We start from the raw sequence: 19,489 nt of genomic DNA, 5'->3' as shown, positions 1-19,489 counted from the left end.
CTCGTAGGTTTTTCTCTGTTTACATAATCTCATATTTCTTGAAGATTTTATTTTTAAATTCACTTTTCTTGATTTTTGTCTAGGTTGATTTGAATAACCAGTTTTTGAGCTCTCAAATTGTTTCTTTGGTCTAGCCTGGTGTTAAGGTCTCCAGTTATATTTTTAAATTCTTGTAGTGAATTTTTCAATTCCAGAAGTTCAGTTTGGTTCTTTCATAAAAAGGCTGTGTTACCTTTTAACTCCTGGATTATTTCATTGGTTTCCTTAAACTGAATTTCAACTTTCTCTGGAATCTCACTGAGCTTCCTTGCCATCCAGGTTCTAAATTATATTTCTGTCATTTCAGACCTCTCAATCTGCTTAGGATCCATTGCTAGGGACCTAGTGCAATCCTTTAGCGGTAAGGAAACACTCTGACCTTCTGAATTGCTAGAATTCTTGCACTGATTTCTTCTCATCTGAGGGGCTGGTGCTTCCTGTTACTTTTAAATTGCTATTGTTTGGATGGGTTTTTTTGTTTTTATATTCTTTTTTCCCTTGAGAGTTTGACTGTGGTATATGTCGTGTACCATTAGTTGGCTTCATTTCTGGATGTTCTTTGTGCTTTCAGAGTGCCAAGGCTCTGCATGAGTTCCTTAATTGTGGTTAGTTTCCTGCACTGGGTTTCATAGGCATTGCAAAGTGAAGGAATTTGTTTTTATTTGGTGGTGTAATTCAGGTTATGATACAATAGATGGTGCTTAAGAGTAAGGTCTAGCAGATAGGCTCTGCCATACACCTGTTTTGTATTTCAGTGCATATAGAGCAGTCTTCTGGGGAAGGAGAGATAGAGGGGCAAGAAATGACCGTTTCACCAAGGTCATTCTTGGGCCTTAGGGGAGCCCTCTGCAATCAGTGGCACCATGCCTGTGTTTCCTCAGCCTCAAGGGGGGACCCTGGCAGGTTGCACTCCCTCCTCCCTTAGGGGTGGCCTGAACTGAAGATTAGGTCACTAAGAGATCTGTAGCTCCCCAGAGACCCACTGGTCTAAGCTGGGCAGTCAGAGAAGGTTGTAGGATATGTCTGTGGGTGATCTGGTGATGCAGTTGGTCAAAGGTGAAGGATCCGCTGGCAAGACTGTGATGCCACAGGTGTGCAGCTGGTGTGGTGCGCATGGCCTGGGATTTTTAACCAGCAGGTGGCCTTGGGGCCTCCCCAGCTTGTGTTCCCCTGACCCAGTTTCCCTCTGCTGTCTGCCCCAGGAGTAGGCCTGAACAGCTAGATTTGTCTGAAGCCTTCTTCACCCAGATCACTGGGCTATTCCAGGTGTTCCATGCCATGGGGCTGCCTTGGGCAAAAGCTGTGGCTGCCCAACAGGCTACACACTTCCTGCACCAGTCTTGCTGAGGGAGGGATGCTCAGCTCCCATGCCTGAACATAAACCTGTGCCTCACTGTTTTCTGTGTTCTGAGAGTAGAGGCTCCTCCCCTGCTCAAGCTCTAGCCACAGATCTCAGCTCAATACCTGTGGGTGGTATACTCAAACCTAGGGGTTTGGGAATTGGGCCACAGCTTTTTCCTCTGGCCCCTCAGGGTCAAGCACCAGTTGTACTTGGGGTGCTGAACTAATCCCAGGTTGCCAGCAAAACACTCAGATGGGAAGTGGAGGCTGTTCTGTGTTCACTCTCTTGTGGGAGTGGCCGGACCCGTGGCCTTGGAAGGGGCTGGCAGACAAGGGGCAGCACAGGGATCAGATGCTTTCCGGTCCCAGAGGAAAGACAATCCTGCTCTCTCCTGGCCTGACAGTCAGCAGTTGTTATAGTCACTTGGATCCAGATGGGGAGCCTTGGGGGATGAATGCCTGGGTGATGTTTTGCTGCAGCTGTACCATGCGCTATAACACCTTCTGAGCTCCACACAGTTTTGAGCTCTTCTTCTTCTTACTTTCCAGGCAGTTTCCCCTGCCAATTCAAATGTCTATGGAGTCATGGGATCTTTTGTAGCTAGGATCCCAGAGGTCCATGATGGGAGTGTGGTGCCCTGGACTTCCTTCACTTAACCCTTCCTTAGGACTTGTTCAGGACCAGGAGCCAGTCTGACACTCGGTGACTCAGTGTAGGCTTCCCAGCTTTCTCTGTCTTCAACCTCAGTTTCTGCATCCCCCCTTTATTGATGTTCAGTATTTTCTCTCAAAAGATCTGTTCAAAATATGATGGTTTACTTCATATTCTGCTTTCTTTCAATGGGAGAGGTATTTCCTAGCTGCATCTAGTTGGCCATCTGGTCCTTTCCCCCCATTCTAACTTTTTTATTGCTTATTGAAATACTTGATGTAACTCACCCAATGATTCTAGAATCAAGGTGAAATTATATGAAGGGTTTGAGTAAAATCTCATTTTATCATTCTGAGTTGCTTCAAAATACATTCACAATTTTTGTTACACAACCATGAACCAATTAGAAATGGCAGAACTTTTTAAATGTTCACAATGATATTTTAGAACCTCTAATTCAATTAATACCATTTGGGATTCACAGCAACATACAGCCTCTCTTGATAGACACATATTTGTGGTTGGGAGGAGTGGAAATATTCCAGCATAATGATTTTCAGATCTGTAGCACCCATCACTCAAGAATTCTAAAAAAAGAGATACAAAAGGATAATTACTATGACACGTGTTTCAAATTTGAAAGACAATTAGCTGGAAACCTCAAACTTTCCTTTCTTATTCAACACACACAATAAAAACACTGTTTCATATTGGATAAGCATTTTATAACTTATGAAGTACATGAATATTCATCATTTCATTTGATGTTTATAACAATCCTGTGAACTAGCTAGGGATAATTTTGTGGAAAGAAAGGAAAGAATTGATAAGGAAGAGATAAATGGCTTACAGGCAATACAACAAATTTGTATGGAACACACTAAGGACAGGTCGCTAGTGCTCTGAGATTGTCTTTCTTTAATAATTTTTTATTGTTTTGTGGCTCTTCAATATTAGTGTGATTTCTTTGCATATTTATGTAAATAAATTTTCGCAATGTTAATTAAAATCCTGACAACTTTCTTAACATAAGAACACTCTATGTAACACAAGTGGAATAAATATTATTCGTAAATCTGGCTCCCCAGCTGATTCTCCATTGTGAGGATGAAAAAATTGAAAGGAAACTCACACACTATTGTTCCACTGAATTCTCTTATTCCTAACATGACTAAGGTTACACTTATTTGCTTATCCAGTTCTTAAAACTCTTTTGAAATGACGACTTTGTGCAGCTGTGCTTAATAATCTGTTTGTATTTTATAATAATAGAATATAAAGTTAAATGTACCAATTTAGAAATTTTTTCAATAGAATCATGACTTTTATATATATATATAAAATTTAAAGTGTGAAATTGAATAGGAAAATCTTACATTACTGAAAACTCAAGATAGTTTTCTAGCTGACATTTAAACTTGCCTGTCCTTGCAAGGTAGGAGCTTCTGTAAAACAACATTCCCAATTCACTGTCTATCTCAAACATAGTATCCAGTGTCTGATCACTAGAAAGAATGTTATTTACTATTGCTTTTAGAATTGCTTTAATTCTTAAGAAAGTATTTTAATCTTTAGTAATAATCTATTATTTTATATGTCATGATCTAAGATGTTTATTTGCCTTGCATATGTTTTCCTTTATCAGGTATATGAAGTAATTTAAATTCTCCTTTCTTCAATACTTATTGTAGAAATGATAATAAAATTGAATCTTTTTTTCAGGATGCCTAAAATAAATATGTTTTGTTAACTCTTTTAATGAGCTTTTATTTATTATCCAGTAATGGTGAGAGTGATAAAAATATATAGTAAATGCTAGTGCAGTTCATAGATATAAAAATTATGTTTAAGGAAGAGCCTTCTTATAGATTGATTTGGGAAGAAGCTGAATTTTGGCAAAATCTATAAATGTTGCTAGAATTTTCTTAAGTCAAAATTGATGAGCAACAACGTCAGGCAAAAACATGAAAATGAGAAAGAGTGGATGAGTCAGGGATAAGAAGTAGTTTCTTTTTCTCTTCTAAATAATATTTAAACTTCTTAAAATAAGCCTAACTATCCAACTCTAGTTTTCTAACCACACTTTCGCAAAGTTCCCTCGTTTTTTTTTTTTTTTTTGAAATGGAGTTTCGCTCTTGATGGAGTGCAATGGCACCATCTTGGCTCACTGCAACCTTCACTTCCCGGGTTCAAGTGATTCTCCTGCCTCAGCCTCCTTACAGGCCGTGAGCCACCGCGGCCGACCCACAAAGTTCCTTTGTATTATCTTTATAAACTATTCATTATGGAAAACATCAGTCTTAATTCTCTAAGGGAAGAAAATATGAATTGTTCCCATTATGAGGGACGGCTGCAAAGCCCCCCAAATCTGTGTTCCTCTGCAAAGCTGGGAATTGTTCCCATTGTGAGTAATGTCCATTCTTCTTAATTGTCTCCTAGACGCCTTAGGGCCATGAGTTTTTGAACATCCTGGTCAGTTGGTTATAAATGTCGGATTAACTTTCAGATATCATCCCTAGAAGCTAAAACCATGTGTTATATTTTAGAGGTCATTTTTCTATATAGTACCATGTTAGTCTGTTAAAGTTCTGCAATTATCTCTTTTGACAAGAGATCCTGAAACTGTTGAATACTATGTATTATACTTCTTTTGACAGAAACTAAGTTTTTAAATCACAAACACATTTCCACTATTAAAAATATAAAAAGAACCAGATGTATTGTCTGGATTTTATTGGATAAATGTGAACAACAGTTTTACAGTGTTCTGGTTCATGGGGTAGAAGTACATTCCTGAGCGTTATTATCCACTAGCCACAATAGGGATCTTCAGGACACAGAGGAATCAGTCGGTGGGGTGCCCTTGAGAGGTGGAAGGCATCCTTGCTGAAGCTTCGACCAGGAGAATTAGTGTTTAGAGAAGAGTTTGAAGTTGTATATATTTCCTTTTTGGGTTTAGGTAACATTAGGTGACTGGGGTAGGAGAATTGGAGAAAGGCAGATTGATAGGTCCTCATTGTCTCTGAGCTGCTGCCATCGAAAGAATGTTGAGAGAAAGATCGGAAAGAGCCTAGCCCAAGGATGCATTTTCCTCTTTATTTTCTGTGTGGCCTATCACAGGCAGGCCCCCAAAATGGCATATCTCATTTCATCACCCATGAAATGTGGTTAGTAGTAACTCACTTAACATGGTTGTGATGTACATTAAGCAGAAAGTATACTTGTAATCATTGGTAAACTATACTGCACTGGCCTTCCATGCATGCAATCCACCTCATTTGAATTCATCTGTGTTACTCTGTTTTATGTGATTTATGATTAAATTTAAAATGTACATCTGGGTAAGGCAGGTGGTGAGGAGGAATTGAAGGGAGGCTTTGATTCTGTTTTCCAGACCTCAACCTGAAGGATGAGGAAAGCTTTGGTTACTGTGGTCCACTTTTCTTTCTTTTTGGTTGAAGTCCAGATTTGCAAAACAGTGTCTCCAATGAGTTTTTGTGGAATTCATTTAGGGTCAGGGTGACCTTGTTCTGAGATAGGTTCTGACATATTCCATTTGACACCGTTTCCTTTGCTAAGCAATCTTTCACCTGCCAAGAAAAGCTCTGCTTCCACACCAAAGCAGGACCTCGAGTTTCAAACTGAGGGGATGACAGTCAGCAGCTTCCACCAAGACAAACCTGTGTCTGCTTTGCAGGAGCTTGTCAAGAATCCTGGTGACTAAGGACTGGTTTGAAAATAACCGGTATTGTCCACGGGCTGATCATAGGAGTTGGTCTTTGGTGAGTTTCAATGACTTTGAAGTTCCTGATGGGCGTGGCTTTGCCTTCATTGGAGCAAAACCAGTCAAAACATATGAGCAAGGGGCATGTGAAAAATAGAAAGCAAAGGAAAACAGGTTAATGTGTAAAACATCCTTGGGGGAAAAAGCACTTTTTATCTTTCATAGCATGTAAAAACATTTTCCACTTGGCACATTGAGTTTCTTTAAAAATAGCACAGAATGTGATATAAAATGAGAAAAGAAACAGGAAAGTGCTCCAACAGGTTTTCAGAGAGTTATAAATTGAATTTCACCTGTATGCTGAATCTGAAAAAAGTTGTCCTAGAGTTTTATTTTTAAAGTAGAGCTTTTTGCTAATGAAAAGTCATTATAATTGTTTGTCTTAACTTTTTTTTTTTTAACAAACTTCAAATAAAGTTTTGGCAGGAAGAAGCAGTTGTTCCACGTTATTATTCTGTTTCTCAGAATGCATTGTTTTTCTGTTAGAAAAATGTCAACAAAAACACTTTTATTAGTTGAGATCAGCAAAGCTGAGTCCAAAAAGAGAGTTAGCGAAGGGAGACAGGGGTGGGGCCACTTTATAGGATTTGGGTAGGTAAAGGAAAATTACAGTCAAAGGGGGATTGTTCTCTGGTGGGCAGGAGTGGGGGTTGCAAGGTGCTTAGTAGGGGAGCTTTTTGAGCCAGGATGAGCCAGGAAAAGGATTTTTACAAGGTAATGTCATCACTTAAGGCAAGGACTGGCCATTTTCACTTCTTTTGTGGTGGAATGTCATCAGTTAAGGCGGGGCAGGGCATTTTCACTTCTTTTGTGATTCTTCAGTTACTTCAGGCCATCTGGGCATATATACCTGCAAGTCACAGGGGCTGCGATGGCTTAGCTTGGGCTCAGAGGCCTGACATTCCTGCCTTCTTATATTAATAAGAAAAATAAAACAAAATAGTGTTGAAGTGTTGGGGTGGTGAAAATTTTTGGGGGTGGTATGGAGAGAGAGAATGGGTGATGTCTCTCAGGGTTGCTTCAAGCGGGATTAGGGGCGGCGTGGGAACCTAGAGTGCGAGAGATGAAGCTGAAGGAAGATTTTGTGGTAAGGGGTGACATTGTGGGATTGTTAGAAGAAACATTTGTCATTTAGAATTATTGGTGATGGTCTGGATGTGGTTTTGTATGAATTGAAAAACTAAACGGAATAAGAGAAGGAGAAAAACAGGTATTAAAGGTCTAAGAATTGGGAGGACCTAGGACATCTAATTAGAGAGTGCCTAAGGGGATTCAGCATAGTCCTGCCAGCAAAGATTATTTATTTACTTTAAGAGTTAAGAGTGGCGGTTTGGGGATAGCACCAGGAGATATCAGCTGTGATGGCTTGGAGAAACAGTGTAAATCAGCAGTGTAAACAAGAGCAGGGCATGTATGAGTAGTTGAGAATGGTGAATAGGAGTATGAGTAGACAGAAGATAGTAGGGATGACAAGTTTTTTGGGGCACAGTCCAAGTTGGTCCGGTGTCTGGAATGAGACCGGGGCCTAATATAAAGGAGCGTCTCTACGGGAGCTCAAATGGTCTGTACCTTGTAGCATTCTGAGGACAGGCCTGAATTCTGAGAAGGGCAAGTGGTAAAAGTATTGTCTAGTCCTTTTTAAGTTGGTGGCTGAGCTTGGTGAGGTGTTTTTAAAAGACTATTAGTCTGTTCTACTTTTCCTGAAGACTGAGGACTGTAAGGGATATAAAGGTTTCACTGAATACTAAGAGCCTGAAAAAATGCTTGGCTGATTTGACTAATAAAGGCTGGTCTGCTATCGGACTGTATAGAGGTGGGAAGGCCAAACCGAGGAATTATGTCTGACAGAAGGGAAGAAATGACCGCAGTGGCCTTCTCAGACCCTGTAGGAAAGGCCTCTACCTATCCAGTGAAAGTGTCTACCTAGGCTAAGAGATATTTTAGTTTTCTGACTTGGGGCATGTGAGTAAAGTCAATTTGCCAGTCTTGGGCAGGGGCAAATCCTCAAGCTTGATGTGTAGGAAAGAGAGGGGGCCTGAACAATCCCTGAGGGGTAGTAGAATAGCAAATGGAACACTGAGAAGTGATTTCCTTGAGGATAGATTTCCAGGATGGAAAGGAAATGAGAGGTTCTACAAGAAGGGTTAGCGGCTTGTAACCTACATGGAAGAGGTTATGAAATGACGACAGAATAGAATGGGCCTGTGGGGCTGGAAGGAGATATTTTCCTTGGTCTAAGAACCATTTGCCTTGTGTGGGAAGAGATTGATAGGTGGAAGTTTCAGCGGGAGAGTAGGTGGGAGTGACTGATGTGAAGGAGAAAAACTGGCCATGAGGGACAGAAGGTGGAAAGCTAGCTGCTTGTCTAGCCACCTTATCAGCATAAGCATTGCCTAGAGCAATGGGATCTAACCCCTTTTGATGGCCTTTGCAGTGAATGACTTCAGCTTCCTTTGGAAGTAAAGCGGCCTTGAGCAGAGTTTTTATTAAAGAGGCATTAATGATGGAGGACCCTTGCTAGTGAGGAAACCTCTTTCAGCCTATATAATAGCATGGTGGTGCAGGATATGAAAGGCATATTTAGAGTCAGTATAAATATTGACGCATTGTCCTTTTGCAACAGTGAGTAAGGGCCTGAGTTAAGGCAACTAGTTTGGCTTGCTAAGAGGTAGTGGAGGGGGGCAGAGTGGTAGCCTCAATAACAGATGTGGAAGATACTATTGCATAGCCTGCCTTTGCTGGTGAGTGGCGATTAGGCCTGGTGGAACTGCCATCAATAAACCAAGTGTGATCAGGGTGAGAAACAGGGAAGAAGGAAATGTGGGGAAATGGGGTGAACATCAGGTGGATCAGAGACATACAGTCATGAGGGTCAGGTGTGGTATCCGGAATAATGTGGGAGGCCAGATTGAAGTCTGAGCCAGGAACAATGGTAATTGTGGGAGACTCAACAAAGAGTGAGTACGGCTGAAGGAGCCGGGGAGCAGAAAGTATATGCATCAGGTGTGAGGAAGAGAATAGATTTTGGAAGTTATGAGAACTGTAGAGAGTGAGTTGAGCATAGTTTGTGATTTTTAGGGCCTCTAAAAGTATTAAAGCAGTGGCAGCCACTGCACGCAGACATGAGGGCTAGGCTAAAAGAGTAAGGTCAAGTTGTTTGGGCAGAAAGGCTACAGGGTGTGGTCCCGGCTCTTGTGTAAGAATTCTGACCACACTAACCATGCCTAGGAAGGAAAGGAGTTGTTGTGTTTTAGAAGGGATTGGGGTTTGGGAGATTAGCCGGACATGGTCAGCAGGGAGAGCACATGTGTTTTTATGATGTCAAGAGAGGTAACAGATGAGGAAGAAATTTGGGCTTGACTGAAATAATAGGGGCCATCTGTGAAGACTTGCATCAGTACAGCCCAGGTCATTTGCTGAGCCTGATGGGTGTCAGGGTCGGTCCAAGAGAAAGTGAAGAGAGGCTGGGATGAAGGGTGCAAAGGAATAGTAAAGAAAGCATGTTTGAGATCTAGAACAGAATAATGGATTGTGGAGGGATGTATTGAGAATAGGAGAGTATATGGGTTTGGCACCACGGGGTGGATAGGCAAAACAATTTTGTTGATAAGGCGCAGATCTTGAACTAACCTGTAAGCCACGTCTGGTTTTAGGACAGGTGAAATGGGGGAATTGTAAGGGGAGTTTATAGGTTTTAGAAGCCCATGCTGTAGCAGGCGAGTGATAACAGGCTTTAATCCTTTTAAAGCTTGCTGTGGGATGGGATATTGGCATTGAGTGGGGTAAGGGTGATTAGGTTTTAATGGGATGGTAAGGGGCATGTGATCAGTTGCCAGGGAAGGAGTAGACATGTCCCATACTTGTGGGTTAAGGTGGGGGGAAATGAGAGGAAGACGGAAAGGAGGCTTTGGTTTGGGAAGAAGGGTGGCAATGAGATGCAGCTGTAGTCCAGGAATAGTCAGGGAAGCAGATAACTTAGTTAAAATGTCTTGGCCTAATAAGGGAACTGGGCAGGTGGGGATAACTAAAAAAGAGTGCATAAACGAATGTTTTCTAAGTTGGCACCAGAGTTGGGGAGTTTTAAGAGGTTTAGAAGCCTGGCTGTCAATACCCACAACAGTTATGGAGGCAAGGGAAACAGGCCCTTGAAAAGAAGGTAATGTGGAGTGGGTAGCCTCCGTATTGACTAAGAAGGGGATGGACTTACCCTCCACTGTGAGAGTTATCTAGGGCATCTGTGATGGTCCTGTAGGCTTCTGAGGCAATCAGGCAGTGTCAGTCTTCAGCTGCTAAGCTGAGAAGATCAGGGAAGGAGTCAGTCAGGGAGCCTTGGGCCAGAGTTCCAGGGGCTCTGGAAGTGGCTGCCAGGTGAGTTGAACAGTCCTATTTTCAGTGGCATCCCACACAGATGGGACATGGCTTAGGAGGAATCCCAGGCTGTGGGCATTCCTTGGCCCAGTGGCCAGATTTCCAGCCCTTGTAGCAAGCTCCTGGGGGAGGAGGTTCTGGAGGAACCCCTGGCAGCTGCGGTTCAGGTGTTTGGAGTTCTTGTGTGCTGGAGTTGTGGCTGGGGTTTGTCTCACAGTGGAGGCAAGGAATTGCAACTCAGAAATACATTGCTACTTGGCTGCCTCTACTCTATTATTGTACACCTTGAACGTGAGGTTAATTAAGTCCTGTTGTGGGGTCTGAGGGCCAGAATTTAATTTTTGGAGCTTTATTTCATGTCAGGAGCAGACTGGGTAATAAAATAAAATGCATATTGAGAATAAGACAGCCTTCTGACCTTTCAGGGTCTGGGGCTGTAAAGCGTCTCAGGGTTGCGGCCAAACGAATTATGAACTGGGCTGGGTTTTTATATTTGATGAAAAAGATCCTAAACGCGAACTGATTTTGGGAGAGGTCAGATAAAGAAAAAGGAGCATTAACCTTGACTATGCCTTTAGCTCCAGCCACCTTTTTAAGAGGAAATTGCTGGGCTGGTGGGGGAAGGCTAGTCGCTGAATGAAACTGTAAGCTGGACCAGGTGTGAGGAGGCGAGGTGATAAAAGGATTGTAGGGTTGGGGAGCAGAGGCTAAGGAAGAATTGGGACCTGGCTCGGCCTGGCGATGAGGGGAGAGGTCAGATGGGTCTGTAGAAAAGGAAGATTAGAAAGACTCAGCAACGCTTGGGGTTGGGACTGAGGGGACAGGTGGGAGGGAAAGAAGGAGGATCTGGGATGAGTCACATTGGGAACAGAGACTAGGGAGGCAACAAAGTATAAAAGAATGCCTGGACATCAGGCACCTCAGACCGTTTGCCCATTTTATGACAATTGTTATTTAGATCTTGTAGGATGGATAAATGGAAAGTGCCATTTTCTGGCTATTTGGAACCACTGTTGAGTTTATATTGGGGTCAAGCAGCATTGCAGAAGAAGATAAGGCATTTAGGTTTTAGGTCAGGTGTGAGTTGAAGAGGTTTTAAGTTCTTGAGAACACAGGCTAAGGGAGAAGAAGGAGGAATGGAGGGTGGAAGGTTGCCCATAGTGAAGGAGGCAAGCCCAGAGAAAAGAGAGACTAGAGACATGGAGGGAAGGGGTTTGGGAGTTCTTACCCTCCAGAAAAGCGGGAAAGGGGTTGGGGCATGGAAATAAGGGGTTGGGGTACAGAGATAAGAGGTCAGGGTGCAGAAATAAGGGGTAGGGGTGCAGAGATAAGAGGTTGGACCATGGAAATAAGGGATCGGGGCACAGAGATAAGAGGTCGGGGCATGGAAATAAGGGATCAGGGTGCAGAGATAAGATCCTGGGGCACAGAAATAAGGGATCAGGGGGTTCTTGCCCCTAGAAAAGCAGAGAAAGGGTAGAGACACAGAGAGAAGGGGTTGGGGGGTTCTTGCCCCCAGAAAAGCGGTACTTGCCGCTAAGGGTAAAGGACCAAGGCAGGCATCCCTGCGTGGTCGGACACCTCTGAAATGGGGGTGAATAATCAGAGAGGCATCCCTGCAATGATTAAACACCAAGGGAAGGCTGCCTTCTTGAGTCTGTGACTGGTGCCAGAGTTTTGGGTCCACAGATAAAATGTGTCTCCTTTGTCTCTACCAGAAAATGAAAGGAATTGAAATTAAGAGAAGGGAGAGATTGAAGGGTGGCACCAAGATTGAAAGGAGAAAGTGGTTGAAGGATAGTGAGAGAGGTTGGAGAAGAGAGTAAGAAGAGGCCGCTTACCCGATTTAAAATTGGTGAGATGTTCCTTGGGCTGGTGGGTCTGAGGACCCGTGGTCATAGGTGGATCTTTTTCATGGAGCAAAGAGCAGGAGGACAGGGGATTGATCTCCCAAGGGAGGTCCCCCGATCTGAGTCACGGCACCAAATTTCATGTGCGTCCATGTGAAGAGACCACCAAACAGGCTTTGTGTGAGCAATAAAGCTTTTAATCACCTGGGTGCAGGCAGGCTGAGTCCAAAAAGAGAGTCAGCGAAGGGAGATAGGGGTGGGGCCATTTTATAGGATTTGGGTAGGTAAAGGAAAATTACAGTCAACAGGGGGTTGTTCTCTGATGGGCAGGAGTGGGGGTTGGAAGGTGCTCAGTAGGGGAGCTTTTTGAGCCAGGATGAGCCAGGAAAAGGACTTTTACAAGGTAATGTCATCACTTAAGGCAAGGACCAGCCATTTTCACTTCTTTTGTGGTGGCATATCATCAGTTAAGGTGGGGCAGGGCATTTTCACTTCTTTTGTGATTCTTCAGTTACTTCAGGCCATCTGGGCATATATACCTGCAAGTCACCTGGGATGCGATGGCTTAGCTTGGGCTCAGAGGCCTGACACCTCTCTTGCCACCTTTGTAACAATTTGTTTTCTTTGCTCTTTTTTAGTTATTATGACAGCAAATTTTAATAGAGTTAAAAAAGCTTCTTGTTAGATGAAACATGAGACATAAACAAAAGTGGAGAGAGAGAACAGTAGCATGAATTCGAACCATCTACCTGCAAAGGTCCACTCATGGCTAATCCATTTGCATTTGTAGTTGTCCCCTCTACGTCCCTCTATTGAATTGTTTTGAAACTATCACCAGGTATAATATTATTCACTGTGTAATTATTTTAGTATAAAAGATAAAAGCAATTTAAAAATGTAACCACAGGCGTGGTGTGGTGGGTCACACCTGTAATCCCAGGAATTTGAGAAGCCGAGGCGGGAGGATTGCTTGAGCCCAGGAATCTGAGACCAGCCCGGGCAACATGGCAAAACCAGCTGCTCGGAAGGCTGAGACAGGAGGATTATCTTGGCCCACGAAGTTGAGGCTGCAGTGAGTCATGATCACACCACTGTACGCCAGCCTGGGTGACAGAGTGAGACCCTGTCTCAAAATAAATAGATAAATAAATACATAAACAAACAAATAAATAAATAAGTGTAACCACAGCAGAATTGTCACACCTAAAATATTGTGTCTTTAATATAATCAAACATCCATTCAGTGTGCAAATTTCCCCAAATGTCTTGTAATTTTTAAATTGGTTTGTTTAAATCATTATTCAGACAGTATTCACACATTTTGTGGAGAAGCATATTGCCATGTCCTTTATGTCTTTTAACCTTTAGGTTTGCTTGCTGTCTTTCTCTCTCTCTTCTCTCTCTGTTTTTCTCTTATAGTTTATTTTCTGAAGACTAGGTCACTTTGTCCTCTGGAGTTTGCCGCACCCTGAATAATGTTAACTGTGTGCCTGTTGGGTCACATAAGTTCTTCTGTCTCGTATAATTTATGAGCCTTTGTGGTTATATCTAGTGGCTTGATTGTATCCAGGTTTGATTTTCTTCAGAGGTGGTGTTGGATACTTATTGGAAGGCACGTGATTCTTATAGTCTCTTTGGTTTTGAGCAGCCATTGATGATTATTTCTTAGACTCATTAGAGATGGGGAGTCTTCTAATTCTTTCAATTCTCTTTATTTCTGGATATTGAAAGTACAGCTATCAAAATTTTCCATTGTTTCTGCGTAGTCTCAGAAAAAAAAAAAAGGAATCAACGATAGCTTTGAGAATTGGGCCAGAGCAACTGGAAGGATGGGGTTACCATTGGCTGAGATGGGAAATATCTTATCAGCGTACGAACATGCTACTATTTCTCTTGAGTGTACTCTCTCATCCTACTACTATTCCATTTTTTTTCTTTTTATAGCAAAACTGCTGGGAACAGTTGTCTACATTTTCTGTACCCAATTTCTCCCTAGTGGTCTCTCTTGACTCCTCACCAATCAGCCTTTCACTAGCCTATCCAGAGTCAGGAATCCATCAGTTCACTTTGCTAAATCCTTGTAAAGTGCGTGCTCCTCATTTGTTTTGACATAACTGTAGCATTTGACATGTTGATTACTCTCTTCTCCTGAAACACTTTACTGACTTGAATTTCAATGGCCACATTCACCTATTCTCCTCCTACCTGAATGGCTGCTCTCTGTCTTTGTTGCTGGCTCCTCCTTATCTTCCCCAAATTAGGTTCAGCTCAACCCTCTCTCCCAGACTCCAGACTTCTATCTATCTCCACTAGGATAATTAATAGACCTCTAAAAGTTAACAAATTCAAATCAGAGATCCAGATAATTCCCTGCTAAGCCTATTTTGCAATGCTTTCTACTTCATTGAATCATCTGTTCTTCATGTCGGAAATCTTGTAGTCATTCTTTAACTCTCATTTTTTCTCGCCCCCCACAATCCAGATTTTTATTAAATATTGTCAGCGCACCCTCAAAAATACATCTAGAACCCTTTCGCTTCTTGCCACTCCCACAATACCATGCTCCTCATGCCACCATCAGCACTTTGCTGGATTATTGCAATAGTACTTCATGGTCTCCCTAATTTTGCATTCACCCCTTTTACAGTTTAGTCACAACAAAGCAGCTGGAGTTATTCTGTTAAATACAGATAGAATCTCTCCATTGTTTAAAATTTGTCTCTCATCTCACGTAGAATAAAAGCCAAAATGCGCTTACTATGGGTTGGCCCTCAGTTTCATCTCTGACCTCATCTCTTGCCACCCTCTGTTCGTCTTGCTCCACCCTTTCCACTGTGGTATTCTTGCTTTTTCTTTAGTACACCAGTCACACTTACGCCTCTGGGCCTTTGCACTTACTTCGCTCCTCCCATAAGCCTGCAATTATGTTTCCTTAGATAAGTCAATTTCTTCCTTCTGATCATTGCTAAAATGTCACCTTTTAGAAAGGTCTTTCCTGATCTTACTATCTAAAATGTCAAACCTTCTTCCCAATTCTTCTTATTCCCTTTTCCTACTTTATATTTGTAAACTTTTGCTCTTGAAAGACAGGTCCCAAATGACCGTGGCCAAGCCAGCTTATCTCCCTCTTATTGGCAATTACTAGGCAGAATGTACTGAGAATGCAATATCCTGAGATAAAGAGAAAATGTCTGGAACAACTTGAGCTATGTCTTCCTCTTCCCAGAACAGGATATTCTGCAATGCTTGGGTCAGTGAGCCAAGAAATGCCCAGGGTACAAAACCCAGAGCATAGTGCTTTCAAGGTTGCTCAGCTGTGGTGTGATAAAGGGCATTTACAGAGGAGACTCCATTTGTCCTGGGCAGGTTTTCCTGACCCTTGAGGGACTGGCTTACCATGCATCCTGGCTTCTGTTTGTCTTTGCTACCTATCTGGGAATATTAAAGTTGGTTTGCTTGACTTGTGGTGTGAGTGTTCTGTTTCACCAGACCAGATTCAGGAACCTTTGAACTTATCACTCTCTAGTATAGCACGTATTTTATGTATTTACATTGCTTATTTTTGGAGTGCAAACTCTACAAGGAAGGGGTATTTTTCAATTTTTTTTTTTTTTTTTTTTTTACTTCTTTCTCCCCAGCACTTAGGCCAGTACTCTCAGTATTCTCAGGTAGTAAATAATCAATACATATTTGTTAAAAAATGAATGAAGATGAGTAGTCACTTATGTCAAGTAGAACAGAGAAAAATGAGTGCTTAGATTTTATGAGATAGTAGTCAGAGGTGACTTTGGCAAGATCACGTATAGTGGCATGGCAGGGAAAATGCCAGTTGGAATGGGTTGAGGAGATAGATTATATGTGAAGGGGAGGAGAGAAATTGTGTTGTAACTAGAGGGAGCATTTGTCAGAAAGGACCGACTATGGCATGCTGGTATGCCTTGAGAATATTCCCATAGAAAGGGAGAAGATGATGCAGGAAGGGGAAGTTTGAAGTCTGTGTAGTCAAGAACAGTCACAAGTATTGAGGTTGGTCCTAGATTTCATAAGGGAGGTTTCATCAGTTATAAAAGATAGAGTAGGTTATTTGGTACAGATGGTGGGAAAGTTAATAGAATTTTGTGGTGACAAAATGAAACCTGAAGTCCACATTTGATCGTCTCTTTTTCTCAGTTTTGAGGAAAACTTATCACAGCTGAGATGAGAGTACTGTGCTGAGTGTTTAACCACACTTGTGAGAAGAGTTGGATTATAGATAAAGGGAAGACATGCATACAAAAACAGACTACCATTATTCTATTGTGAGTGCCCCCTTTTATTGAATAAGTACACAGATGTTTACTGAGTGTCTATGATTTGCAAGGCATCTCACTGGAAGGGTAGAGTAACAAGAGATTAAAGTTCTAAGATCATATTTATTTTATTTTCCAGATCATCAGAAGAAAAGTGGGTTAAATTGGCCAAACTTGCCCGCTCCCATCCACTGTCTGTCTTCCAATCCCTGAATCCCAAGATAAATAACAATCAACTTTCACTGTACTTTACTTTTGTGTGTGCAAATCTGGCATTGTAATAAGGCTTGAATCTCTTGAGAAAATGGCAGGTAAATATGAGCAGAGAAGAGCACTTCACCATCCTGTGTTTTCAAAATTTGCTCTAATTATTTTATTGGCTTTCTCATATTTATATAGAAAAATAAGAGCAATGTCAAGCCAAGGCCTCCAAAGCAACAGGGTATAATATACATATATAAACAATTCCCTTTTTGTGTAATTTTCTATCCTTCCACAGGTTTTAATTCAAATAATTCATAGACTTGGCACCCACCTAGACACTGGAAACTAGCTTAACAAGAAACATTCAACTAGTTAAAAATAATGAACTTTTGTATTTTAAAATAGGAAAAGAGAAATTTACATGATTCTAACAGAAATTTCTCTTATTTTTAGTGATGTGCCTTTCCTGACCCATTAGCTCACAAGTCAAATCAATATGCTCCTCAATTTTATTATTTTTATTATGACATAGCAAAAAAATAAAAGCCCAAATGAGAAAAAGAATGCCCTGAAGAACTCAACTAACACAAGTTCAGAGGACTGGGAAACTAGATAAATAATTAAGAGACTGGCTTTGAACTATGCTGGTTGTTGAGAAGTTTCTGGGTCACTTAATAGGAATTAACAAGCTTTTAGGGTCAAATAATAGATTTAAGAGCTAAAATGTGTGGAATTTCAGCTTGCTCCTTGGCCTTGGTTTCTTTCTGTGAATAATGTGTAAATCCACGAATTGAAGAATGACTAGGGATACACTTTGCAACTGACAAAAAATGGTGAGAAAAAATAAACGAGATTAGATTTTATAAGGAAGGAAAACAATTAGGAGTTAAAAATTAGAATAGGAGCCAAAATATATGAAGGAACTTTCACAACAATTAGGAAAGAATGTATGCTAAAAACTGACAAAGAATAAGAACAGGCAATTTATGAAACTGAATTATCAATGGCTAATTCTGAAAAAAAAAAAAAAAAAAAAAAAAAAAAACCCATAATCTATAATCTAGCTGTTATGAACTGATGCTCCAGTATAAGGTAGCTAGAATTCCTTTCTTTCTCTCCAGTTAATTATTTGGGACCTCCAACCTGCTATTATTGGTGCCAATAAATGTTTTTTTCTTGAGATTTCTTCATCCCAAATTGTCCAAGAACCCTTCAGGTTTACTCAATCCAGGAGCATAAATCCTGCTTTCAAAAACCAGATGGGTTTGATTTGCATTTCCCTGATGATTAGTAATGTTGAGCAGGAGCATATTTTCATATATCTGTTGGCCACTTGTACTGTTTTTTTTTTTTTTTTTGAGACAAGGTATCACTCTGTCACCTAGGCTGGAGTGTGGTAGCATGATCACGGTTCACTGCAGCCTCAGAGCCTCCTTGGCTCAAGTGATCTTATCACCTTAGCCTCATGAGTAGCTCAGACTACAGGCACACACCACCATGCCTCACTAATTTTTGTATATTCTGTAGAGATGGCTTCTTCATGATGCCCAGGCTTGCACTTCTTTGGAGACATTAATAAAAACCACAATGAGATATCCCCTCACATATGTTAGAATAGCTATAATAAAAACAAAATAAAAGATAAGTGTTGACAAGGATGTGGAGTAATTGGAACACTTTTACACTGTTGTTGGAAATGTAAAATGGTGCAGCCTCTATGAAAAATAGTACAGACTTCTTTTTTAAATATTAAAAAAGTAGAACTACCATATGATCTAGCAATTTCACTTCTGGGTATTTAAAAGAATTGGAATAGAGATGATGAGGAAATATTTACACTCCGAAGTTCACTACAGCACTGCTCACAATAACCAAGATGTGGAAATAAGTTAAATGTTTATCACTGATGAATGGATGAAGAAAATGTGGCATGAACATACAATGAAATATTATTCCACCTTAAAAAAGAAGGAAGTCCTGCAATACGTGACAACAGGGATGAACTTTGACATCATGCTAAGTGGAATAAACCAGCTGCAGAAGGACAAATATTGCATGATTCTACTTACATGAGGCATATAAAATAGTTAAATTCATCAAAGCAGAGAGTAAAATGATGGTTTCCAGGGGACGAGAGGAGGAAGGAATAGGGAGCTGCTAATCAATGGGTGTAAGGTGTCAGTTATGCAAGATAAATAGATTCTAGAGATCTGTTGTATAACACTGTTCCTGTAATTAGCAATATTGTGCCCTTAAAACTGTGTTAGGAAGATAGATCTTGAGTTAAATGTTCTTATCACAATAAAAAATTAAAGGGTAGGTGGGAAGGAATTGGTAATCTGCTCCATTCACTGGTACTATCCTTGCTCAGGTCGCTGTCTGAAGTTGCTGTTAAAGACTGGCCATGTTCCTTCTGATGTATGCACATGAGTTTCTTGCTGTTCTACATCCCTCATAAATTTTATTATGCCTTTTATTTGGGCTGCAAAAGAATGTGTACTTCTGTTCTAATTCAGAGGCTCAGATGGAGATGGAGTTTCCCCCTTGTTGCCCAGGCTGGAGTGCAATGGCACAATCTCGGCTCACTGCAACCTCTGTCTCCCAGGTTCAAGTGATTCTCCTGCCTCAGCCTCCCAAGTATCTGGGATCACAGGCGCCTGCCACCAAGCCTGGCTAATTTGTATTTTTAGTAGAGACGGAGTTTTGCCATGTTAGACAGGCTGGTCTCAAACTCCTGACCTCAGGTGATCCACCCACCCCGGCCTCCCAAAGTGCTGGGATTACAGGTGTGAGCTGCCATGCCTGGCCTACTTTTTGTGTTCTTAAAAGAACATGCAGTTTTTTCAATAATTGGGAGATCCTTGATATAAATAATTCTGAAAATGCAACTTTTTATTCATAAACTCAAAGGGATAGTAAATAATAGCATAGGATGCATCCAGAGTTTGCACAGGTTAATTCT

General features: G+C 41.3%; 3 annotated features.

Moving 5' to 3' along the window:
- Window positions 6,298-6,845: an enhancer, noted in NCBI's record as "NANOG hESC enhancer chr21:18499538-18500085 (GRCh37/hg19 assembly coordinates)". NCBI's record gives its function as "activates a minimal SCP1, AML or CMV promoter by ChIP-STARR-seq in primed H9 embryonic stem cells {active_cell/tissue: H9 hESC(primed)}" and the evidence as "EXISTENCE:reporter gene assay evidence [ECO:0000049][PMID:30033119]".
- Window positions 11,983-12,726: an enhancer, noted in NCBI's record as "NANOG hESC enhancer chr21:18493657-18494400 (GRCh37/hg19 assembly coordinates)". NCBI's record gives its function as "activates a minimal SCP1, AML or CMV promoter by ChIP-STARR-seq in naive H9 embryonic stem cells {active_cell/tissue: H9 hESC(naive)}" and the evidence as "EXISTENCE:reporter gene assay evidence [ECO:0000049][PMID:30033119]".
- Window positions 13,857-14,503: an enhancer, noted in NCBI's record as "OCT4-NANOG hESC enhancer chr21:18491880-18492526 (GRCh37/hg19 assembly coordinates)". NCBI's record gives its function as "activates a minimal SCP1, AML or CMV promoter by ChIP-STARR-seq in naive H9 embryonic stem cells {active_cell/tissue: H9 hESC(naive)}" and the evidence as "EXISTENCE:reporter gene assay evidence [ECO:0000049][PMID:30033119]".

The sequence above is a fragment of the Homo sapiens genome, chromosome 21 (assembly GCF_000001405.40).
Source record: "Homo sapiens chromosome 21, GRCh38.p14 Primary Assembly".
Lineage (NCBI taxonomy): Eukaryota > Metazoa > Chordata > Mammalia > Primates > Hominidae > Homo > Homo sapiens.
The sequence above is the reverse complement of the archived record's forward strand: the minus strand, read 5'-3'. Positions and strand labels throughout refer to the sequence as shown.